Raw genomic sequence first — 24,274 nt, 5'->3', positions numbered from 1 at the left:
GGCAGATGAAGATGGACAGGAAAGCAGGGTTTATAAAATAAGGGTGGCTGGGCCCTTGAGTTTTCAGCAGGGAAACTGCATGATCATATTTCAGTTTAAACAGTTTAAACAAGTTAAACAGTAAAACAGTTTAAACAATGTTAGAGGTGTACTGAAGAAATTGTAATGAGCAAAACACAGACATTTATTTATTTAGACATATTTTTTTCAGCACCCACTGTGTTAGATAAGGAAAAACTGCTAGAACTGTTTCTATGAATGAGATGTGGAAATAAATTATAACACTTAAATTTTAGGGAAGGGAAATGGTGTCTATCCAGGCCTCCTTAAAAGGGCAAGAATAGATAAAGGGGTCTTCAAGTTTTTTCCTCCCCAAGGCTTTGTTACATCACACTCCCTTTCTTCCGGGATAACAAAACCTGCTGTTTAAAATTAAACTGAATGGGATTAATCAATCTAAAATTTGCTTACTCATTACCCACTGCTTCCACAGCAGTGAGCTAGGCACAGTAGGGAGGAAAACAGGAAATCTGGAAGGAATGTGGGGACTGCAAGGTGTATTTAGAGAATGGGGAATAACTTAATCTTGTTGGAGCAGAAGGAGATACAGAGGAGTAAGGTCACATTGGAGACTACACTTCCATCAGGCTAAGGCAAACGATTTTATCCTACAGGCAATGGTGAGCTATTGAAAGATCGGCTTGTTAACATTGCAAAGTCCACCCGAAATAGCATGAAATGAATCTGTTTGCTTCATTTATGTTGCATCAAAAACACCACAAGTGCCATCTTGTACTTTAGCATAAAATCTTCCTGGAGTGCTTCTTGAAGCTTCTTTATGCAGACTGTTGAACTTAATTTTCCCACTAGAGGGCAGGCTAAACTCACAGATTCTATATATTTGGTGATTCTCCTAGTTCTTAAATTTAATTTCTCCCACTATTTTTAAACTGTGTGCGTGTGGTGTGGTGAGAACACTTGAGATTACACTCTTAGCAAATTTCAAGTACACCATACATTATTAATAACTATAGTCACTGTACTGTATGTTAGATCCCCGAAATTTATTCATCTTACGACTGAAAATTTGTACTGTTTGATCAAGATCTATTTGTTTCCCTCACCTGCCAGCCCCATGGTAATCATTCTGCTGTTTCTATGAGTTTAACTTTTTTGGATTCCACATATAAGTGAAATAATATAGTATTTGTCTTTCTGTTTCTAGCTTATTTCACTTAGCATAAAGTCCTCCAGATTTGTCCATGTTGTCGCAAATGGCAGGATTTCCTTATGTATCACATTTTCTTTCTTTGTTTCTTTTTTTTTTTTCTTTAGATGGAGTTTCACCCTTGTTGTCCAGGCTGGAGTGCAGTGGCATGGTCTCAGCTCACTGCAACCTCATCCTCTGCCTCCTGGTTTCAAGTGATTTTCCTGCCTCAGCTTCCCAAGCAACTGGGACTACAGGCGCCTGCCACCACGCCCAGCTAATTTTTGTATTTTTAATGAGACAGGGTTTCATCATCATTTTGGCCAGACTGGTCTTGAACTCCTGACCTCAGGTGATCTGCCCACCTCGGCCTCCCAAAGTGCTGGGATAACAGGCATGAGCCACCGCACCCGGACCCCATATTTTTTATCCAGTCACCTGTAGACAGATACTTCTGCTGATTCCACATCTTGTCAATTGTGAATAATGCTGCGATGAACATGGAAGCACAGATCTCTCTTTAACATACTGATTTCATTTCCTTTGGATATATTCCCAGAAGTGGGATTGCTGGTTCTTACAGTAGTTCTATTTTTAATATTTTAAAGGAAACTCCATACTGTTTTCCATATGGCTGTACCAGTTTACATTCCCACCAACAGTGTACAAAGATCCCTTTTCTCCACACCCTCGACATCACTTGTAATCTTTTGACTTTTTGAGAGTAGCCACACTACCAGGTGTGAGGTGATATCTCGTTATGGTTTTGCCTTACACTTCTCTGATGATTAATGATGTCGAGCACCTTTTCATATACCTGTGGGTCATTTGTATGTCTTCTCTGGGAAAATGTTGATTGAAGTCCTTTGCACATTCAAACAAAATTCTGGTTATTTGTTTTTGTTTTGTTTTGCTATTGAGTTTTATGAGTTCCTTATATATTTTGTATGTTAATCCCTGATCAGATATATGGTTTGCAAATATTTTCTCCCGTTCTGTATGTTGCCTTTTCATTTTGTTGATCCCTACTATAATAATCTTTAAAGGGATGTTTTTTACCCTCCTTCTCATCAGAATTACTGCCTTTGGAAAAAAATCACCATCAATCTGATTACCCACTGTTTCCACAGCAGTGAGCTAGGCACAGAGGGGGAAAGTTGTGGACCCTTCCTTCCCAGAGTTCCCCAAACCAACACCAAGTCGTAGCTACCTACTCTGGGGCCCAGTCTTCTATCGCCACAGTATAGTGCATAGAGTCTTTGGAGCTGACACCATCACAAGGTACTAAGAAGATGTATAGTACAGGTTGTTTTTGTTTGTTTGTTTGTTTTGAGACAGTGTTGCAATCATAGCTTACTGTGACCTCAATCTCCTGGCTCAAGTGATTCTCTCACTTCTGCCTCCAGAGTAGCTGGGACTACAGGCATGCACCACCATGCCTGGTGAATTTTTTTTAAAAATGTTTTCGTAGAGATGGGGTCTTGGTATGTTGCCCAGGCTACTTTTATACTCCCTTAGCTCAAGGGATCCTCCTGCTTCAGCCTCACAAACTGTTGGAATTATAGGCATGAACCACCATGCCTGGCTGAGCCCAAGAATCTTACATAGCATCAAGAGCTCAGATACTGGAATAAATACTCCCTAAACAATGCAGCCCTCAAATGTCATGGATCATTGAAAAGGTGTAGGGAAGAAGTAGGACTGATTTCAAAGCCAGTAAGAGTCAAAGGATTGAAGAAGTCAATCTATACATAAAATATTTACAGAGCACCCCACCCCATCTCTAACATCCAATCATCTTTCAAAGATATTTGAATATTTTTGAAGAAAGCCTACTGAAGGATTTTAAAATAAAATTGTTATAAATACTGTCTTTCAAAATATTAGTTTTGAGTTGTATTACAGATTAGTCCTAGCCTAGAGCAGACCTATGAGAGAATATAGCACAGATAAACAGATTCTACCATCATCTCCTTCCATTGATTTCAGCCATTTGCTCCCTCACCAGTAATCTACTTATTATTACCACTGAAATCTTTTTTTTTTTTAAGATAGGACCTCAACTCTGTTGCCCAGGTTGGCATGCAGTTGTACCATCATGGCTCACTGCAGCCTCGACCTCCTGGACTCAGGTGATCCTCCCACCTCAGCCTCCTGGGTAGCTGGTAGTACAGGTACACACCACCATGCCCAGCTAATTTTTTGTGTTTTTTGTAGAGATGAGGTTTTGCCATATTGCCCAGGCTGGTCTTGAACCCCTGGGCTCAAGCAATCCACCAGCCTAGGCCTCCCATAGTGCCAGGGTTACAGGCATGAGCCATCACACCCGGTCACCACTGAAATCTTAGACTCTCAAGCTTTTCATTTTCTGGCTCAGTCACTCTGTCTTCCTGTAAACTAGATCCAGGTTTTCATCCATTCACTTATTGACCAAGAATTTATTGAGCACCAGCTTTGAATGAGGCAATGAATTAGGCCTAGAAATTCAAAGGTAAAAATAATGGAGATTCCTTGTCTTTAAGGCGCTTACAGTCCGTTGCCCTCCTCTTCTGTCCCCTCCCCAATTCAGAAAAAAGTGGACAAGCAATTATATATAACACCCATGATCAGTGTTATAATCCAAGTAGCTATTGGGTGTGTCTAGACACTCTTAGGAGGCACTCTAGGGAAACTTTGCAGAGAATTTGTTGTAGGATGTATTAGTTTGTTATTGCTGCTATAACAAATGACCACAAATTTAGTGGATTAAAGGAACACAAATTTATTATCCTACAGTTCTGCAGATCAAAAGCCCAACATGGGGTTCACTGGGCTAAAATCAAGTATCTGCAGGGTCATGTTCCTTCCTGGAGGCTCTAGGGCAGGATCTGTTTTTTGACCTTTCCAGTTTCTAGAGGCCATTCACCCCCTCCAGCTCAGGACCTCCATGCTTCAACTTTCAAGCCAGCAATGTTGCATTTTTCCAACCAGTCTTGCGTCATCACATCTCTCCCTGACTTCGGCTAGGAAAGGTTTGCAGCTTTTAAGGACTGACGTAATTAGATTGGGCCCACCTGGATAATCCAGGCTAATCTTCCACTCCCAAGGGCCTTAACTTAATCACATCCGTAAAATCCTTTTGCCTTGTAAAATAATGCAGCCATAGGTTCCAGGGATTAGGAAGTGGACATTTCCTCCTTTGGGAGGCCATTATTCTGCCTACCATGTAGAGAGACAGCTGCATAAAAGGAAGCGGGTAGAGGTGGGGATTGGAGGTAGGAGGCCCTTTCCAGGAAACCATGTGGAAGGGCCGTTAGGTGAGAATATTGTGCATTCTAGGAACTGTAGGGAGTTTCGTAAGGCCCAAGTATGAAGTTTACATTGGAATGTGGGAGGCTATTCATTCAATACATATTTATTGAATACTATGTGGTGGGTGCAGTTTGGGAGATGCAGGGATGCACAAGACAAAGTCCTTGTTCTCTGAGGCTAGAATGAAAAGCAAGGGCTGACTGTGAGAGAATTCAGAGTTTCCTTAGGAGATTGGACTTTAAGAGTTAGAGAAAGTCATGCATTAATTCATCTGCCAAAAATTTTGTGAGCACAAGTGCCAGGCATTGTTCTAGGCTCTGAGAATACAGATGTTTAAAAACCAAAGTCAAAAAATGCCATGTCCTACATGTTAGTTGATTTTAAGCAGGAGAAGCAGATGTTTGCTTTGGAAACATCACCCTGGCTGGGTTACTTGAGAAAAGATTGGAAGGGGAATAAGATTAGAGGTAGCTCAGTCCCTTTCCTCCCGCTTCTTGAAGATTCACAGCCTTTGCTGAGCTTCACTTCCGTCCTTGAGGACTTCCTCTTTTGTCAGGAGCCCTCTTTTCCTTTTATGCCTCTACTGTACCTATCTTGGAAACCTGACCTCATGTTCTACACCTGGGCTTCCAAGTGCTGCAGAAGAAAATGATGAAAACATTCGGATGTTTTTATTCATAGCCACAACATATTAGAGTATCCAATGCCAGCTGTATCTTCAACTCTGCTGACAATTCTCTCTCTCTCTCCTCTCTCTGGAGCTACCACTCTCATTCCTTATTCCTTTCTATTTTAACCTTAACCACTTTTTTTTTTTGAGATGGAGTTTCACTCTTGTTGCCCAGCCTGGAGTACAATGGCGCGATCTCGGCTCACCGCAACCTCTGCCTCCCTGGTTCAAGCGATTCTCCTGCCTTAGCTTCCCGAGTAGCTGGTATTACAGGCATGCGCCACCACGCCCAGCTATTTTTGTATCTTTAGTAGAGACGGGGTTTCTCCATGTTGGTCAGGCTAGTCTGGAACTCCCGACCTTAGGTGATGCGTCCACCTCGGCCTCCCAAAGTTCTGGGATTATAGGCGTGAGCCACCGTGCCCAGCAACCTTAACCACTTTCTTTAAGCCTTTAACCTCATCTTGAGCCTTTCTCTCTCAGCAGATTGCTTAGAGACTACAAGGCAGCAACTAGTCCTCTCAACATCTAGTCTCAAGTTCTAGTCTCTTTACCAGTCTACAGATGCCTCTGCTTTTGTACAGCCTTCCTCTCAAAGATATCAGAGGCAGCTCCACCCCATATACCTGGGTCCCAACTCCCTCCTATTCATGATCTCGCTCTCCTTGGTCTTACTCTTCAGCATATGAAAATGCTTAAGCCTTTCTTATCCTAAAAAGAAAAAACAAAAGTCTCCCCTTTGATCCTGCATTCCCCTCTACCCACTGCCTTATATTTCTCCTTGTCTTAAATTGCCAAGCTTCTAGAAAAAGCATGTGTCTTTTATTCCAGATCCAGGTTCATTCATTCACTTAGTGACCAATAATTTATTGAGCACCAGCTTTGAATCAGGGAATGAATTAGGCCTAGAATCCACTGGAGGCATTTTCTAGCCTACCCTCCTGGAGGTTCCTGCTGCACTGGTTATCCAGTCATTCTCTTCTGAGATTCTCCCACCCTAGTTTCTGACACTCTGTGGCCTCCAGTTTTTCTCTTACCTCTCTGGTTGTTTCTTCTTTCCTCCTTATGCCCATCTGGACGACCTCATACAGGCTTATAACTTCACTGACTACCCATAACCTACAGAATCCAAAGCTGCTATCACTTGTTCACACCCCAATATGAGTTTAGTTTCATAAGTTTGCTGTCTACTAGACATCCCCATCTAGACATTCCACAGATACCTCAAACCCAACATGTTCAAAATTAAGCTCAAGATCCCTCTGCCAACACCTGGGCCCTGTCTTTCTAATTGTCCCTAACTTAGGGAATGGTACCACCTGCCAACAATTTCTAAGGCTTCAAATGGGGAGTAATTCCAGAGTCCTCCTCTTCCCTAATTTCCTACATTTTATATATTTATCAAATACTATTGATTTCTCTTTATAAGTATCTTTTGTATCTGCTCCGTTTTTTTCATCCCCACTGCCACAGCTCTGGCACAGTTTTGAGATTCCCTGATTTCCCACCTGGAACGTAGCCATGGTTTCTCTGTTGAGCTCCCAGGCTGCACTCCTGACTTGTGTTACTAGGTCCTGGCAGAAAGCAAATGGCACACTGCACTTGAGGGGTAATTTGAGGAGAGGTTAAAAAATAAGGGGACAATTTATAAAGGGTCGGCGGAGTACAGGAAAACCACAAGAAATAGTGTACAATCTACTAGGGCCAGTAGCAAATCAATGTTTCCACCCCCAGGCCCGAAAAGTCAAAGGAGGGGAGTGATTACCTGAATCAAGAGAGAGGGAGGGGGCTGGCACTGTGGCTCACGCCTGTAATCCCAGCACTTTGGGAGGCTGAGGAGGGTGGATCATGAGGTCAGGAGATTGAGACCATCCTGGCTAACAAAGTGAAACCCTGTCTCTACTAAAAATACAAAAAAAATTTGGCCGGGCATGGTGGCATGCGCCTGTAGTCCCAGCTACTCAGGAGGCTGAGGCAGGAGAATCGCTTGCACCCGGGAGGCAGAGGTTGCAGTAAGCCACTGCACTCCAGCCTGGGCAATAGAGTGAGACTCGGTCTCAAGAAAAAGAAAAAAAGAAAAACAAAAGAGAGAGGGAGGGGAGAGAGAACCACCCGTGGAAGCTGTGATCTTTGGTTGAGGGTGGCAGCCAGCGCACTGTGACCCCAAAGAGAGGAATCCTGAAGAATAAATATCCAGTTTCCCCTGACCTCCCTCCTTATTCAATCTTCAGCCATGGCCCCCATTGGCCAACCCAGTCTAGGAAGCCAGAGGGCCAGGAAGATCTGGAGGGGCAAACGGAAGACATGCAGTGCATCTTCCAAATCCTTCTCTATAATATGCCAGGAAGTCTTTTTCTGGTCACACTACTTCCCAGTTCCATTTGTGCACAGCAGGTTCTCTGTCACCTACAGCACCTAAACTTTTTGGCATGCCCTGGTTTCTCTTTATTCAATTTTTTCCTTACCAAAATGCATGATAAAGCCTGTGATCTGATCCTCCACTCAGCTACCTATGCCTACTTCCTGTTAGTTCTTTCCTTCAGACTTTTCACCCCAGCAGCATAGAACCACCAGTGGTCGCCGGGCGCGGTGGCTCACGCCTGTAATCCCAGCACTTTGGGAGGCCGAGGTGGGTGGAACACAAGGTCAGGAGATCGAGACCATCCTGGCTAACACGGTGAAACCCTGTCTCTACTAAAAATACAAAAAAAAAAAAAAAAAAAAAGAAAAAATTAGCTGGGCATAGTGGCGGGCGCCTGTAGTCCCAGCTACTCCGGAGGCTGGGCCAGAAGAATGGCGTGAACCCGGGAGGCAGAGCTTGCAGCGAGCCGAGATCACGCCACTGCACTCCAGCCTGGGCGACAGAGCAAGACTCCGTCTCAAAAAAAAAAAAAAAAAAAAGAACCACCAGTGGCCCCTGTAACACTCTGTTCTCTCAGGCTCCTGAGCTTGACCTGATGACAGACACAGAGTAAGCTGTCATAAATATTTGTATGGTGAAGAAGTGCACGGACACGTTTTTTAACCCCTGTGGCTCCTGAGATCAGGAGTAGCATCATATACATTATGACATATGTGCAGACCAAGCTGCCTTCAGTTAATTATCAAGATGTTTCACCTACATTCTCTCCTTTGATCATTACGAAAGCGTGATAGGTGAGGACGCTATTCTTGATATTCAGAGGGTGAAGTGGAATACTGAAAGTCACAAGCATTGGGTACAGAAGGCACTGTAGGATCAGAAAGGGGAGTGATCCCTTTCCTCCCCATCATAAGAGTCACAGCCGACACTTCTATAACAAAAGACAAGTTAACCAGAGAAAAGCATAACAAATTTATTTAATCATGGTTTTACTTGAGAGGCTGAGGACCAGGTGTTAATCTTCATAGTCTGTCGAGAAAGAAAGAAGAAATGAGGGCAGTGGAGGAAAACACGATTCACGTTTTTAGGAAAATATACTTTGAGATTAGTGATCGTTGGTACTATGCAAACCAAATGCAAACGAGGAGCTGGCCAACTCATGGTTTCTTTTGGGTGGAGCCTTTAGGAAAATTCTTCCAGAGACCACTGCTGGAAGAAAGGTATTTAGAGTAGAAAATTTAAATATAACATATTGTATGAAAGGTTTTTTTTTTTTACTTTTTTTTCTCACTACCCTAGTTGGGTTGGAGGATCCTCTATCTCCCCTCCCTACTTAGGTTGACTGCTGTTTCCTGGATCGCAGCTCGGAAGATCCACCTGGGCGAATACAAAAACAAACGAGACTCCCCTTCCAGAAAGGGAGGAAGGAAGGAGACAGAAAGACGAATGACACTGAGCGTGTAAAGCCCGGAGACAGCCTCTCTCTACCCCAACCTAACCCTCAAGGTAGGGGATCCCCCGAACATCGCTACCGTAATTATGGTAGAAATTCCTGAAACGGATAACTGGACCTCAGCACCGTCATTTCTAGCAGAATGATTGAGCTTTCCTCTGACCCAAAGCCAAGGGGTTCCAGCAGGGGAAACTAACGACCATCCGCAAAAACCCTCACCCAAGTGGGGAGTGGAAATCCTGGCTCTTGGGTTGCAGAGCACAACTTGACGCCAGCGCGTTTCTCTTCCCCCACGCAATGGCAAGTGGGGCGGGAGTCGGAGGGGAGAGGAGGAGAGGAGAAGAGAAGAGGAGGGGGAAGGGGAGGGGAGAGGCGAAGGGCGGCCCGGGTTCCAGCAGCCGCCCCGCCCTCCGGCTCGCGGCGGATTCGGCGCTGCGGCTGGAGCCGGCGGCCGGGTGCCTGCCTGTCCAGGCAGGGTCTGGCCGAGCGTCGCGTCGCCGTGCAGTGCGCCGGGTGTCCGGGAGATGGCTTCCCCTCTCTCGCCCGCTGCTGCCGCTATTGTCTCACCCGGGGTGGCCTGACTCTGCGAGCTCGCGCACGCTCTCGGCGGAGAGCACCCCTCCCCACCCCCACAAGCTGGTCCTTGCGCCCTTTGCTGCCTCTCCCTCTGCCCCTTGGAGCCTAGGGTCTGTGCGGAGCCTGGAGAGGGGAGCGGCCCGGGAGCAGGCGGCGTGCGGCCGGCCAGCTCCTCTCGCGCTGGTGCAAGAGGCGCCTGGAGCCGCAGAGCGAGCCCGGGAGGCGCGGAGCGAGCAGCCCACGTCGCCAGGCACAAGACACGTCGGATGTTGCAGCAGAGCCAGCAGCTAGCGCAGGTAGGACACGCATCCTGCGGGTTGCATCGGCCCCAGCGTCTGTAAAGTGCCCCCAGAGTGGAGGCAGCCGAGGTCAGGGGGCTCTCCCTCCAACATGGCAACAGCGGAGGTGCAACAATGGAAGCAGCCGAGGGTTCCTGGCGGCGGGCTGAGCGGCGGACGCCGTGGGAGCCTGAGCTCCTGCCCGCCGGGCAGAGCAGGTTGCCCCTCACCCCACTCCACTCCACTCCAGCAGCTTCAGGGCCTCTGGGGCTCCAGGCACCCGCGTCCCCACCCCCTTCTCGCTAAACACACTTCCTGGCTCCCAGCTGCAGGGCGATCTGAACCAGTCAATGGCTTTGGGGTTTGTTTATTTAAGATAAGAAATAAAAAAAGCAAAACCTGTCCTGTGATGGGGTTAGTGCCTTCTGTGGACTGGGTGAGAAGTCGGCATCTAGCCTGGGGAATGTGTACGTTTCTTAGTCGGGCGGAGGGTAGAATTGGATTCTCCCTTATAAGGATACTGCAGCAAAAGGAGACTGAAAGCTTGAAAGAGGGAGAGGGACCCTCAGGCCTGAGTTCGCCGGTGCTGGGAGAAGGCGCTGCTCTCCTGGCCTATACTTGTCCCTCATTTTCAGCTCCCGACAGCGGTGACTTTGATGTTGGAGGAGCAATCGCAGCAGGAAGCACAAGCAAGGCTGCCAAGCTGGTGTGGGGTGGAGTAGGGTGGGGAGCCCAGGGGCTTGGCAGGCTTCTGGATTGTGGGAAGAGGTTACCAAATGTATGAGGTTAGTGCACACACCCTAGTTGGCTGATGTTGAAGTGTGTGTGTGTGTGTGTGTGTGTGTGTGTTTTCTGCCATTGCTCTTGCTCCTTCAGGCCTGCCTTTTCTCCTCTCCACCCGCTTCTGGGGTCTTCGTAGCTTCCCTGCCCCAGCCCTTCCAATCATGCCTGGGATGGAATCGCTGTATTGTCTCTGGCAGCTCTCTTGGGCTGTTTTTTCTCAACTCTGTTGGAGAGTTTTGTACCCTGGGCTGGCTGGTCCCAGCATGGCACCAGATTCTTTAGCAGGCGGCTACCCGGGCTCCAAGAAGTGGGCCAATGCTGCCCCTCCTCCTTGCTCTAAACTACCTATTTGGGATATGGCCAGGCAGATGTAAGCAATTTGTACTAAATTCCAACCCTGAATCAGTGCTGAATGAAAACTTACTCTGTTGCTGCATCAGGCTTTGGGAAGATATTAGGAAGAGAAATGGCCCAGGAGGTGGCAATGCCGACCCCCAAATACTTCCCTCTCCCCAACTCCAGCTGCCGATCCCAGAGCAGACAGGCAGTGAGACTTTGGAATCCCAGCTCCTCCAGAGTCTGGCTGGCCCATCTTGAGGTTGTGTCCATGGAAAAATTAAGTCGAGGCACATTTTATAGCTCTGCTTGGCAGCCAGCATCTGAAGAGATGGTGGCTCTGAGCTGGAGCCCTAGACCCAGGCTGTGGCTGCTTCTCCTTTGGCCTTTGGGTGAGCCTGAGGTTTGATTGCCATGGCTCTGAGCTTACTGCTGAGTGTGTATGGCTGAATCTGATCAAGCTCTCAGACCCGGCTGCTTGTCTATTTCCTTCTCCACTGGAAGCATGAGTGAGAAAGGGCCAAGGGGGTGTGCTGGGTGAGGAAGGGTCAGTTTATCTGGGGACTTGGGCTGTTTCTGGGGGAGCTCCTTTGGACTTCCTTGGTGGTCTGGAATGCCTTTGGTCTTTGTCATGACCTAGTATGCTCTGGCAGATACTCTATACCCTCGTGGGCCTTTGGTCCCCGCTTGGTGGTGTCCCCACTCCTCCTGTGCCTGGTGCTTTGCATCTATATCATGTCTGTGGTGCTTCAGCTGGGATGGCCCTGGCCTGGACCAGTGGGTAGAAAAATGAGGTCTCTGTTCCTTTTAGGGGCTTGTAACTAGCTATAAGGTTCAGGCTCCTCATGTTCCCAGGATGTGAACTTGGACATCATAATGTGAAGTAGTAGAGAAAACAGTGTCTTGGTGTGACTTTCTTTTTAGCTATGTGAGCACAGACAATTTGTGGACCTAAGATTTAGTTTGTATATTTGTAAAATGGAGGTGGGGGAGTAGCCATGGCTCACAGGATTAATAATGAAATGCTGCTTACCAAGAACTAAACAGAATCATGTGTGCAAAAGTACCCTGAAAACTACAGAGTACTTTACAAATGATTATTCTTACTGGGTTTAGCCTCCCACATAAGGGAGGGAGATCTGTGAGGGATGGGGATAGGGTGGGATCTGAGGGCCACATGGAGTAGGGAATGTTTTGGGACCTTTTCTTTCTTGCTAAGGAAAGAGTAGTGTGACAATACCAAGGTAACTGCTGTATTCCTTGGGTATTTTTCTTTAAATAGTGTTGGCAGGATGGGAACTGGGAGAGAAGGAAAGGATGCCTCATGATATTTGTAGGAATTGAGGAGGGATAAACACCTTCCAAAGGCTGGCTACTGCCTATAGAGAGGATAATGCTGAGCTGGCAAGTAATGTAATCACTAACACTCACTGATGTCAGCCAGCTAGTAAATGATAGAGGTGGGATTTGAAGCAAGCAGTCTCACTCCTTACCCTGTGTTCATAGCCTCAGTGCTACTCAGAGAGATATTGGGTCTTGGGAGAACAGAAAGGGACAGCAAAATTGTGGAGTTCATTCTTTTTGTTTGTTCTTGAGACAGGGTCTCTCCCTGTTGCCTAGGCTGGAGTGCAGTGGGCTCAAGTGATCCTTCGACCTCAGTCCCCACCCTGAGTAGCTTGGACTATAGGCATGCACCACTACATGTGGCTAATTTTTTAAGTTTTTGTAGAGATGGGGTCTCAGTATGTTGCCCAGGCTGGTCTCAAACTCCTGGCCTCAAAGGAACCTCCTGCCTTGGCCTCCCAAAGGGTTAGGATTATAGGCATGAGCCACTATGTCCAGCCTCAGAATTCATTTTTTTTTTTTGAGACAGAGTCTCACCCTGTCACCCAGACTGGAGTGCAGTGGTGTCATCTCAGCTCCCTGCAACCTCCGTCTCCCAGGTTCAAGGGATTCTTGTGCTTCAGCCTCCCGAGTAGCTGGGATTATAGGCGTGTGCCACCATGCCTGGCTAATTTTTTGTATTTTTAGTAGAGACAGGGTTTCACCATGTTGGCCAGGCTGGTCTCGAACTCCTGACCTCAGGTGATCCACCTGCCTCAGCCTCCCAAAGGGCCAGGATTACAGGTGTGAGTCACCATGTCCAGCCTCAGAATTCATTCTTAATGGATTCCTTGAATGCCCATGAGACGTCACCAGCCTGGGACATCTCATGGGCATGTAGGCATAATAAATTTTTCTGGGCCTCATCTGCTTTTCTATGCATTTTTATTTCTATGTCTACCTTCCAAGGAAGGAAGAGATGTGGGATAATCTGATCAAGTCATATTGCTGCCTTCTGAGCAACACTAATAGAAGGTTTGGGACTTGGAGGATCCTGGGGAAATTAAGGCAGATTTCTTGTTTTGGTATTTTCATATCTGCTTTATTTTGCATCTGTTTTATAAAATGAAACTTGAGGGACTATTCTTGCCTTTTTTTTTTTTCTTTTTCTGTTGAGACAGGATTTCACTATGTTGCCTAGACTGATCTCGAACTTCTGGTCTCAAGTGATCCTCCCACCTCGGCCTCCCAAAGTGTTGGGATTACGGGCATGAGCCACCTCTCCCAGCTTGTTCTTGCATTTTGTAAGATCACATAGAGTATCAAAACTGGAAAGGACCTGGGCCATCACTTCCCTGAGAAAAAGTGACTTTCTCAAGGTCATGCAGTTAGTAGCAATGCTGGAACTGAACGCCTACCCCGCAGATCACAACATGACCCGTGAAAGGACCTATCCTGCAACACTTTGGAGTTTCGTGCCGACCCAATTAGTGGCTTTGTCTTTGGGAAATTTACTTCCCCAAAACACTGGGACATTGGGATGGAATTCACTCACCCCAAATCATCACCCTGGTTAAGGAGACTAAAGAATCAGAAGACATTTGTGCTTTGGGGAGCAGAGGCCCTCAGGGTATAGAGAAGGAAGAAGAGAGAGGTTCACTGTAGTCCTGAAGCAGAAATAAGACCTGTGGCTGAAGGAAGCCTTAGCAATTCACTCCTTCCTCTTCCTGAGAACTCTCTGTAGGAAGTCTCACCTAGCAGAGGCTTCACAGTATTTCAGAGAAGCCAAAGATTGTTTGCCTCTTTGGAAACTGTTATCCTTCCATCATGACTGTGTCACTCCTGCCACTGTTCCACCATAGAGGTGGGTGCCTAATATTAGAGAGTTGTTTCACACACGTGGCTCATTCCTCAAGCCTCGCTAAGCCAAGCCCACCAGGAAGAAGCTTGAGTGGAAGCATTCTCTCCAGCCACATCTTTCTCTCTTTCTCTCATACTAGATGGCGTCCTTTGCAGCAAACCGTAAGTTATAAGGATGAGGGAAGAAGAGTAGAGGGCCAAAAGGATTCCATTTTGAGGAAAAACTACAGTTTGCCTTGCCAGGTAGAAGAATCAGGTATGAGTTCTTTTTGTCTCAGGTAATAAACTAAGCAAAGCCCAGATAGTAGTAATGATGGAGCCCTTCAACTATTGACGTCTCCCTAAGAGCCCTCATTTTCTGAAAGCAGAGTGTTTGTCCCATTCCTGACTCGCCATGCTGTGTGTCTCCCAGAGAGTGAAAGAAATTGCTGTGACTGCGAGCACCAGTAGAGTGGATTTAATTCTCACCAAGAAAAGGGAGGTGGTTTGCAAATGGGTTGTTTTGGGATCCTGGGAGAGGAACATTGTAGCCAGAGATATTAGATTTTCACTCTAGACTTTAAGGAGGCAGATTTTTTTTTTTTTTTAAATTAAAAGATAGGGGCCAGGAATAGTGGCTTATGCTGTAATCTCAGCACTTGGGAGACTGACATGGGATGATCACTTGAGCCAAGGAGTTTGAGACCAGCCTGGGCAACATAGCAAGACCTTGTCTCTACTAAAAATAAAAATAAAAACAATTAGGGTGTGATGGCGCACACTTGTGGTCTCAGCTACTCAGGAGGCTGAAGTGGGAGGATCTTTTGAGCCCAGGAGTTTGAGGCTGCAGTGAGCTATAATTGCACCACTCTGATTGCATCCAGGTTTCACTGTAGCCTGGGTGACAGAGTGAGACCCTGTCTCTGAAAATAATAATAATAATAAAGAGCTTGTACAATTAACTTGAGAGGAGCCAAAATTTGAGTCTAGGTCAGGAAACCTCTAGAACCTGTGTTCCTTCTGTGCTATGCTGAAGGGGACTGTGAGAAAAAAAATGTTCATGAGGCTCGAGTCCTGAATGAGATGGAGCTTCCCCAAGAGCCAGTAATGACACAAGTGGTTCTTAAAGTCATTTCTGGAAGACAATAGGATCACAAGGGTTTAAGTCTATCAGATCATGTTAAAAAGGAACTCATTCATTTATTCATTAATTTGACTAACATCTTGATTGTTTACTAGTGACTTTAGGTACTTTTAAGTCATTGAGTGGGGGAAATATGGGTTGCCTTGTGAACTCATCAGTGGGGCCTTTTTGATGGTCAGACTTCTTGGAGGAAATTAAGTGTTTGCAGAGATCTGAACAATGAGTAGGAATTGGGGCAGGATGGGGAATGGAGTGTGGTGAATGAGGTGAACTGAAAGCAGTTTAATCTCGCCAGAGCCACTGAAGGAGTTTGCATTTTATCTTTTGGGCATTCATTCCACCATTGTACATTGAATGTGCACTGACACTCTTCTACGTGCACAGCAGTGAAGAGGACAGGTAAAACCCTTGCCTAGTGCTTGGTGTTCTGAGAAAACTTAGTTCACTCATAGTTCTTAGTCCACTAAGAGTAGTTCACTAAGAATTAAACCAAGCTTTTTAATGTTACTGACAGGAATTCTATACTGATAGATAGGGAATTACTTGGAGAGATTCTCTAGTTGAATGCAAGGAAAGTTTGAGAAGGACTCTCATGATAATCCTATAGATTATACAGGGTAGAGACAAAAGGTGGGTTAATGATTGGTTGATTGTTCATTCAGCAAAAACATCTTCAGTGCCTCTTCTCATTCATTCTTACATTTATTCACTCATTTATCAAATGACTGGCAGTGCAAGTTCGGCAGATGGTTAAGAGCACGGCTTTGGAGCCAGATTACTTGGGTTCAAAGCCTGGCTCCACCACTTACAAGCTGTATGACCTTGGAAAAGTTATTTAACTTATCTGTGCATCACTTTCCTCATACGTAAGATGAGGGAAATAATAATACCAGACAAAATTTGTTGTAAAATGAAATGAGTTAATTAATGAACTACTTAGAGCAGTGCCTGATGCATGTAAATGGTGACTCAACAGCTCATGGTTCTTGTAATTATTATTCCTCAATAGCAGGTTTGTGCTAAATTCTAGGAATACAACCTTGAATTGAGTGTGGTCCCTGACCTTGAGGGAACCACATTGCACCCCCCTCCCACCCAAAATGCAGGTAAATGGATGAGTTTCTTCATGGAGTGGGGTAATCCTATAAGCTCAATATGAATCGATTGTGATAAGGTGCCCCAAGAGTTATATATATACAGTCTTAGGCAGCATTTCCCAGCGTCTTAATATATAGTCTTAGGCAGCATTTCCTAGAGATTATAGAAACTAGAACTGTGGTGTTTATTATTTTGGAGATCTCTAAACTTAAGAATCTGATAAATGCTGTGGGGTGTCTACTTGGAAAAATACATTACAATTTTGCCTTCAAACAGCCTCCAAACCTCTGATCCTATGATGAGGAGCTGTTAACTCTTCTCCTCTGGGTTGGTCAGACCACGCTGAGAACACAGTATTAACAGTTCTGTACTGGAGCATGTACTTCGTGTAAAACATTGTGCTAAGTATCCTGGGGGAGACAAAGATAAATACGAGGTAATCCATGCGGTTTAAAGGCTTAGTGGAAAAGAATGTTTTGTATGTAATGAGATGTTTGTAGATACATGTTGAAATGATAAAAGTAAGAATGTTCATCTTGAGCAATGGAACGAGATTTATCTATACAAAAATTTAAAAATTAGCCAGACATGGTGGTGTGCACCTGTAGTCCTAGCTACTTGAGAGGCTGAGGTGGGAGGATCACTTGACCTGGGGAGTTTGAGGTTACAGTAAGCTATGATTGCACCACTGCACTCCAGCCTGGGCAACAGAGTGAAACCCTGTCTCTTTAAAAAACAAACATAGAGGCTGGGCGCAGTGGCTCACGCCTGTACCAGCACTTTGGGAGGCTGAGAAGGGTGAATCACCTGAGGTCAGGAGTTCAAGACCAGCCTGGCTAACATAATGAAACCCTGTCTCTACTGAAAATACAAAGATTAACTGGGCCTGGTGGCATGTGCCTGTAATCCCAGCTACTCTGGAGGCTGAGGCAGGATAATTGCTTGAATCCAGGAGGTGGAGATTGCAGTGAGCGGAGATTGTGCCACTGAACTCCAGCCTGGGCAGCAGAGCGAGACTCCATCTCAAAAACAAACAAAAAACCAAACAAAAAATGAAGGATGTTACTTAAAAGTTGTGTTGGTAACTGTGTTAATAAATAAATAAGAGGTAATCTTTTTTTGAGATGGAATCTCCCTCAGTCGTCCAGGCTGGAGTGCAATGGCGCAATCTCGGGTCATTGCAACCTCTGTCCTCCAGGATCAGGCGATTCTCCCACCTCTGCCTCCCAAGTAGCTGGGATTACAGGCACCTGCCTTCATGCCCGGCTACTTTTTGTATTTTTGTAGAGATGAGGTTTCACCATGTTGGCCAGGCCAGTCTTGAACTCCCTACCTCAGGTGATCCATCTGCCTCAGCCTCCCAAAATGCTGGAATTACAGGCATGAGCCACCGTGCCCAGCCATCTTTATTCGTTTTTTTTTTGTTGTGTTTTGTTTTCTTTTTTTTTTTTTTTTTGAGACTGAGTCTCACTCTGTCACCCAGGCTGGAGTGCAGTGGCACTATCCCAGCTCACTGCAACCTCCACCTCCCGGGTTCAAGTGATTCTCCTGCCTCAGCCTCCTGAGTAGCTGGGATTACTGGCGCGCATCACCATGCCCAGCTAACTTTATATATTTAGTAGAGACAGGGTTTCACCATGTTAGCCAGGCTGATCTGGAATTCCCGACCTCTGGTGATCCGCCCGCCTCGACCTCCCAAAGTGCTGGGATTACAGGCGTGAGCCACCATGGCCAGCATTATTCTTAAGATTAGTGGGCTAATGTCTATAAAAGTGCTTTGTAGCTATAAATACCTATACAAATAAAAGCTATTATTTTTATTCTAGTCACTAGTAGGGATAATCCAAAGCAGAATGCACATAAATGCAGTAGAGCACATTACAAATTATAAAAATATTCAAAAGAGCAAAGTCACTTTTATTCATGGGGGATGTGCAGGCACTGCTCTTATATTACAGCCATCGCACATCCCCCATGAATAAAAGGGTGCAGTGGCTCACGGCTGTAATCCTAGCACTTTGGGAGGCCGGGGCAGGCAGATCGCTTGAGTTTGCAATCAGCCTAGGCAACGTGGTGAAACCCCATCTCTACCAAAAAGACAAAAAATTAGCCAGTTGTGGTGGCGACCACGTCTGTAGTCCCAGCTTCTCAGGAGGCTAGGATGGGAGAAGATCGCTTGGGCCTGGGAGGTGGAAGTTGCAGTGAGCCAAGATCCTGCCACTGCACTGCAGTCTGGGCGACAGAGCAAGACCCTGTCTCAAAAAAAAAAAAAAAGGAAGAATGACATGATCAGAGCTGCCCTGTAGGAAGATTATCCTGGCAGTGGAGAGCAGATACTTTAGGGGGTCAGCAAGGAGACAGACTAGTTAGTGGTCTGTTTCAATCATTCATCATTCAGGTGAGAAAAAGGAATAATAATTTTTTTGGTGCCTAATAAAATAATTTTTCAGGTAAAAGAATAATCATTCAGGTAGAAGAAAGGAATAACAAATTTTTTGGTGCCCAATATATGCTTTATATAGGTTATTTCACTTAAAGTCATCAGAGGTTTGGAAAGGAATGGACCAATTTAAGAGAGATTAGAACAGGAAGGCTGGGGGATTTCCTTTCCTGAAGGATTCTAAGAACGGGAGAGATAGCTGGGTGCAGTGGCTTACCCCTGTAATTCCAGCCACTTGTGAAACCGGGGTGGGAGGATTGCTTGAGACTGGGAGGTCAAGGCTGCAGTGATCCGTGATCACACCACTTCACTCCAACCTGGATGGCAGAGTGAGACCTTGTCTCTTAAAATTAAAAAAAAAAAAAAAAAGACTGGAAGACTGGTTATAGCTCAGCCTGGGAAGAGCACTGGAGAGGGAGTCTAAGGACCTGGACTCCCACTTCTGGTCTCACCTCTATCACTGACCAGCTATATGACTTCACACAGTGCCCCTTGCTCATTGGTTCTCTTGTCTACCAAACTGTGGGGTGTGTTTGTTTGCTTTGCTTGTTTGTTTATTTTTATGTTTATTTTTTTGAGTGGCCTGGGAGAGTGAAATGTTCTGGGATGGGGGTGTGGAGAGCATGGAGGTGTTCTAGAATAATCACCAACATCAGCTTAAACACTTTTTTTTTTTTGAGACGGAGTCTCGCTTTGTCGCCCAGGCTGGAGTGCAGTGGCACGATCTTGGCTTACTGCAACTTCCACCTCCCAGTTTCAAGCGATTCTCCTGCCTCAGCCTCCCAAATAGCTGGGACCACAGACATGCGCCACCATGCCCAGCTAATTTTTAGTATTTTTAGTAGGGACGGGCTTTCACTATGTTGGCCAGGATGGTCTCGATCTCATGACCTCGTGATCCGCCCACCTTGGCCTCCCAAAGTGCTGGAATTGAGTGAGCCACCGCGCCCGGCCATCAGCTTAAACACTTAATCAAATGTGATGTGCCTGGGTTTCCACAACAGGATGGGAAAAAGACCATGAAGTTTGGGCTCACACACATTTCAGTTTAACTCTTGATTTTATCATTTACAAGTTGTGTGACCTTTGGGCCAATTATTGCATCCCTTTCCTGTTTTCTACTTTCCTCTTCCATAAAAGAAGGATGATAACATCCACATTTAAGGATTGTTGTGAGGACTAAATAAGACAATACCTGGCACAAAATACCAGAGGGGGGAAAAAAAGGTATATTTCCTTCCTTCTATTTCTGTGATGCTCATATGCATGTAGTCTTCCCTCCTGTCTCCCCACTTCTCTGCCTTCCTTCTCTTTCCCTTTCACCAGCACAAAGTGTAACACCCTCACTCCCGTTGCTACAGTGGGCTGTACTAGTTTCACAGACCTTGAAATGGCACATACACGGGAAAGGTGTTTCGACACAGTTCCTATGGACTGTTGGTGCCGGATGCTTACACGGTCACACCCTGGTCGCTCATCCAGCTTAAGCAGTCAGTGAATCCCTGCTGAGAATGACCTCTGACTGTTGCTACCCTGGGAGACACTGGGCGAGGGTCACATGGGCAAGGGGCTGGTGGAATGTGAGCATGCTATACTGTGCCAGTGGTTCACCCTTTGCTTAGTGTAGACTTAGGTTCTGTCTTAAGGACATCTGTCTCTCTTGGGACCTTCCTGTGCAAACTGGGGGGATAAGAGATCGGAGAAAGGCATCAGGGCATGTACAAAGCAACATCAAAACTAATTGACATGATTCTTTGCTCTATACCCCTCCCCCTCGCTAAAGTCACTTTCTTTTTTCAAAATCTTCATGACCCATAACCATTCCATGCACAGAGATGCAAAAATGGTCAGTTAATATCCAAAGCAAAAGCGTTGCTCTTGTTCCCCAGGCGACAGGGCCACCATTTTTATCAGTGTGAAACAGAGTATCAGGGTATTAAGGAGACACTGAGAATAAAAGTGAGGAGATATTGGAAGGCTTAACCAGGGAAGGCTTCTGAAGATCGTTTTTTTTTTTTTTTGAGTCAGGGTTCTCTGTCACCCAGGCTGGAGTGCAGTGTCTCAATCATGGCTCAGTTGAGCCTCCTATTTCAGCCTCCCAAGTAGCTGGGACTACAGGTACATGCCACCACACCCAGCTAATTTTTGTGTTTTTTGTAAAGATGGAGTCTATGTTTCCCAGGCTGGCCTCAAACTTCTGGGCTCAAGCGATCGTCCTGCTTTGGCCTCCCAAAATGCTGGGATTGCAGTTGTGAGCCACTGTGCCTGGCCTTTCTGAGGATCTTGAATTCGGATGGAAGCAGGAGAGAGAGAAAGCAGGAGGAAGAGAAAGGCACCCCCAGTGGTAGCCATGGCTTTGGGGCCCTAAGAGTCAGGTGCAAATGGAAATAGGGATGGGGAGTCCATACCACGCTGTACGTGCAGGTGAGCAGGGCTAAGGGGAAACTGAAACCTACGGCTGCAACATGTCTAGGGGTGACCAGGCTGACATGGGCAGTCCTTCTGGGATCCCCTGTGGTCTGGCACCATCAGGACCACTGCCTTCTTCCCATTCCCCCCATCGAGATATTCTTCCTGTGGTTTGAGGATTCTGGGACACCACAGGCATCTTGGAGAATATCTTGTTTCTCAGTTCTTTTTTTTTTTTGAGACAGAGTGCAGTGCAGTGGCGCGATCTCGGCTCACTGCAGCCTCTGCTTCCTGGGTTCAAGAGATTCTTCTGCCTCAGCCTCCCAAGTAGCTGGTGTTACAGGCACCCACCACCACACCAGCTAATTTTTGTATTTTTGGTGGAGACGGGGTTTCACCATGTTGCCCAGGCTGGTCTCGAACTCCTGACCTCAGTCTGCCCACCTCGGCCTCCCAAAGTGCTGGGATTACAGGCATGAGCCACTGCACCCAGCCTTCAGTTCTCTCTTAAGGCGTTGCATCCTGAGTAGGGTTTCTCCTTTGACCTGGCTAAAGTAGAATCCTTGGTCTTCCGGCTGGGTTCAGTGTCCTTGACTGACCCTGGAGCAGGATATCCTTCTGGCCTGCTACCAGGAAGAATGGAGGCTCCCAGCTTGGGAACTGCATGGCTGTAGGCAGAGGACCGTGGCCACCTGGATCAACCTGGGCTAAGAATAGCCAAGGCCAGGGTTTGGAGGGGTCAGTGCCTTAAAGGGGCAGGCTGCCCAGTGGGCAGCATTGTGGGGACTGTACTCTAGAGGGGCAAGAGGTTCCTACACTCAGGAGCAGAGACCAGGGGGAGGCCATGGAGCTATGGGGCCTAACATTAGAGAGCACCCCCCCCCCCCCCCCCGTCTTTTCATGGCTCATTCCTCCCTGGGAAAATAGAAGTCTTACCATTTCCAGGGCCTGTTGGGTTGGGTGCTCCCCTCCTTAGATTCTGCTTTTTAATGCAAATGGCCCTGGGAGGGACTAACACCTTGACCTCTCACACCCCTGTGTAAGTGAGTATCAGATGTTTAGGGGTGTTTCATTTTTCTGTTTTTCTCTGGATTGAAAGACTGGAACTGCTTGAAAACCGGTGTCCCTTTCCTTTCCTACCCTGGTCTGTGGGGACCCCACGGCTTCTTTACACCTTCCTGATTTAGGGAATGACCGGCCACCCTGGGGGGCCTGCCAGAAGGCCTGGGGGCATTTGGGAGAGGGCTCTTGTGAAGCTCTTCTGCCTGAGGCTCCTTCTGTGGCATTCTCTTTGCCTGAGTGCCCTCAGCCTGCTGGAACGCAGAGAACAGCCTGCTTGGGGAAGGGCCGGAGCTGCCCCCTGGTGCTGAGAGGGCCTGTTTTCCTTTTTCTTCTGGGTTTAACCTTTTTTCTCAGACTTCTTTGCCAGTGACACTAAGAATGTGACCTCGGCGTGGTGGCTCATGCCTGTAATCCCAGCACTTTGGGAGGCCCAGGCAGGTGGATCATGAGGTCAGGAGATCGAGACCATCCTGGCTAACATGATGAAACCCCGTGTCTACTAAAAATACAAAAAATTAGCTGGGCATGGTGGCGGGTGCCTGTGGTTCAGGAAGCTGAGGCAGAGAATTGCTTCAACCTGGGAGGTGGAGGTTGCAGTGAGCGGAGATCACGCCACTGCACTCAGCCTGGGCGACAGAGCGAGACTATGTCTCAAAAAAAAAAAAAAAAAAGAATGTGACCTTATGGGTCTAGGCCAGCTTCCTCTCTTCTCTTCTGGGAGAGCTGGTGAGGGAGTGAGTGAGCAGGAGGGTGTGTGTCGGGGGAGAGTAGGGTGTGTATGGGGAGGGTGTGAGGGGTATGGGATAAGCATGGGAGGTGTGTGGTGTGTATGTAGCGGGGAGACATAGATGTGTGTGTGGGGTGCAGGGGGAAAAGTATGTGGAGGGGTTGGGGGTTACACATGGTTTGTGTGATCCCTATGGCTTCAGGCCCCCAAGAGTGACTGTAATCTATTAGGGATTGCCTTGATATTTGAGGAGTTAGCATTAACTGAAGATATCCTGCTTTATCATTAGACTCTGAGTCTAGCTTGCTGGTTGAGGAACACCACGATGGCACAGGGACAGTGGGCTGGGCTGTGGGCACGTGGTGGAGAGCCTTCCTATCCCAAGGGAAGAAAGAAGCATGGCGCGGGGGCTGGTCGGCGCCTTAGCCGGTTCCCATGAATGGCTGGCTCTGCCTTTTTCTGCTTGACTTCCTTTGGCCCTTCTCAGAGCTGAGCAGGTGGCTGTCAGCTGCCGGCAGCCCACCACCCACACAGCCTGGCCCTGCCCATTGGCTCCTGCACCCAGGCTTACAGGCAGTCACCCCCATCCTCCCCACAGACAGCACCACCACCTGGGAGCTGCTGGCCCTGCCTCCTCTACTCTTATGTGTGTGATCCTTCTGGGTACTGGGGCTCTGGCATATCTGTGCTGAGTGTATACTTGCAGGGGAGAGCACAGGGCTGGGGCCAAGAGTGTTTCTGAGTATTCCCACCATGCCAGCCTCCCTTCATCGGGTCTACAATCTTTTCCCAACTCTGGAACAGCTCCAGTAGGAGAGACAGTACAAAGTCACTTAGCCTGAGTGGTCCTCCCTCTCATCTGGGACAGAAAGGAGGACCCTGTCTTCAAGACCAGAGAGAACCTTTTGGACATCTGAGAAAGGTGCTACCAGAAAGCACCCTAACAATCATTATAATTGAACAAATTGGAGACGCTTGCTCAAAAAGCCAGTGTCAGCCCAGCAAGGATGTCTTCCTTCTGGAGGATGGTCTCACTGGCATTATTCAGTGCTCTCTGGTCAGTCCAGTGCCTCTGCAGTTACCCCGACGTACATCCTCATCCCCTTGGAATGGGGCTGGGCCCTCGTTTGAAGTACGCCTCCACACTGCCTCCTTGCTCCTTGCAGACCTGGATGGGTTAGCCCGGCCCCGCCGAGCCCAGTGCAGAAGACCTGCGGAGGCAGCTCCTCTGCCGTGGCCTCTCCTGTCCTCTCTCTGATGAGCCCTCCAGGCAGAG

At 47.0% G+C, this 24,274-nt stretch overlaps 2 protein-coding genes across 4 annotated transcripts in view, besides 7 other annotated features; one reads left to right on the top strand and one right to left on the bottom strand.

Annotated features, from left to right (window-relative positions):
- Window positions 1–8,478: 8,478 nt before the first annotated feature.
- Window positions 8,479–12,460, bottom strand: LOC124904584 (translation initiation factor IF-2). Its single transcript, XM_047439554.1, has 2 exons — window positions 12,450–12,460; window positions 8,479–10,035 (listed from the first exon to the last, which is right to left on the bottom strand). The coding sequence occupies exons 1-2, from the start codon at window positions 12,458–12,460 to the stop codon at window positions 9,015–9,017; spliced, it is 1,032 nt and encodes a 343-aa protein (XP_047295510.1). The 3' UTR covers window positions 8,479–9,014.
- Window positions 9,257–9,726: a silencer, noted in NCBI's record as "silent region_1726". NCBI's record gives its function as "represses an Ori minimal core promoter by ATAC-STARR-seq in GM12878 lymphoblastoid cells {active_cell/tissue: GM12878}" and the evidence as "EXISTENCE:reporter gene assay evidence [ECO:0000049][PMID:35858748]".
- The window catches only part of PIK3C2B (phosphatidylinositol-4-phosphate 3-kinase catalytic subunit type 2 beta), a 72,173-nt gene continuing 57,304 nt past the window's right edge, over window positions 9,406–24,274 (top strand). For 2 of the 3 annotated variants that reach the window (NM_001377335.1, NM_002646.4), the window contains exons 1-3: window positions 9,406–9,855; window positions 13,461–14,143; window positions 14,280–14,395. The gene's annotated coding sequence lies outside the window, so the exon portion shown is untranslated. The remainder of the gene's footprint in view (window positions 9,856–13,460; window positions 14,144–14,279; window positions 14,396–24,274) is intronic. The other variant, NM_001377334.1, reaches the window with a different exon arrangement.
- Window positions 9,827–9,956: an enhancer, noted in NCBI's record as "active region_2369". NCBI's record gives its function as "activates an Ori minimal core promoter by ATAC-STARR-seq in GM12878 lymphoblastoid cells {active_cell/tissue: GM12878}" and the evidence as "EXISTENCE:reporter gene assay evidence [ECO:0000049][PMID:35858748]".
- Window positions 10,027–10,216: an enhancer, noted in NCBI's record as "active region_2368". NCBI's record gives its function as "activates an Ori minimal core promoter by ATAC-STARR-seq in GM12878 lymphoblastoid cells {active_cell/tissue: GM12878}" and the evidence as "EXISTENCE:reporter gene assay evidence [ECO:0000049][PMID:35858748]".
- Window positions 11,286–11,365: a silencer, noted in NCBI's record as "silent region_1725". NCBI's record gives its function as "represses an Ori minimal core promoter by ATAC-STARR-seq in GM12878 lymphoblastoid cells {active_cell/tissue: GM12878}" and the evidence as "EXISTENCE:reporter gene assay evidence [ECO:0000049][PMID:35858748]".
- Window positions 21,723–22,722: an enhancer, noted in NCBI's record as "H3K27ac-H3K4me1 hESC enhancer chr1:204450617-204451616 (GRCh37/hg19 assembly coordinates)". NCBI's record gives its function as "activates a minimal SCP1, AML or CMV promoter by ChIP-STARR-seq in naive H9 embryonic stem cells {active_cell/tissue: H9 hESC(naive)}" and the evidence as "EXISTENCE:reporter gene assay evidence [ECO:0000049][PMID:30033119]".
- Window positions 22,583–22,632: an enhancer, noted in NCBI's record as "active region_2367". NCBI's record gives its function as "activates an Ori minimal core promoter by ATAC-STARR-seq in GM12878 lymphoblastoid cells {active_cell/tissue: GM12878}" and the evidence as "EXISTENCE:reporter gene assay evidence [ECO:0000049][PMID:35858748]".
- Window positions 23,623–23,682: an enhancer, noted in NCBI's record as "active region_2366". NCBI's record gives its function as "activates an Ori minimal core promoter by ATAC-STARR-seq in GM12878 lymphoblastoid cells {active_cell/tissue: GM12878}" and the evidence as "EXISTENCE:reporter gene assay evidence [ECO:0000049][PMID:35858748]".

Source organism: Homo sapiens, chromosome 1, assembly GCF_000001405.40.
Source record: "Homo sapiens chromosome 1, GRCh38.p14 Primary Assembly".
Lineage (NCBI taxonomy): Eukaryota > Metazoa > Chordata > Mammalia > Primates > Hominidae > Homo > Homo sapiens.
The sequence above is the reverse complement of the archived record's forward strand: the minus strand, read 5'-3'. Positions and strand labels throughout refer to the sequence as shown.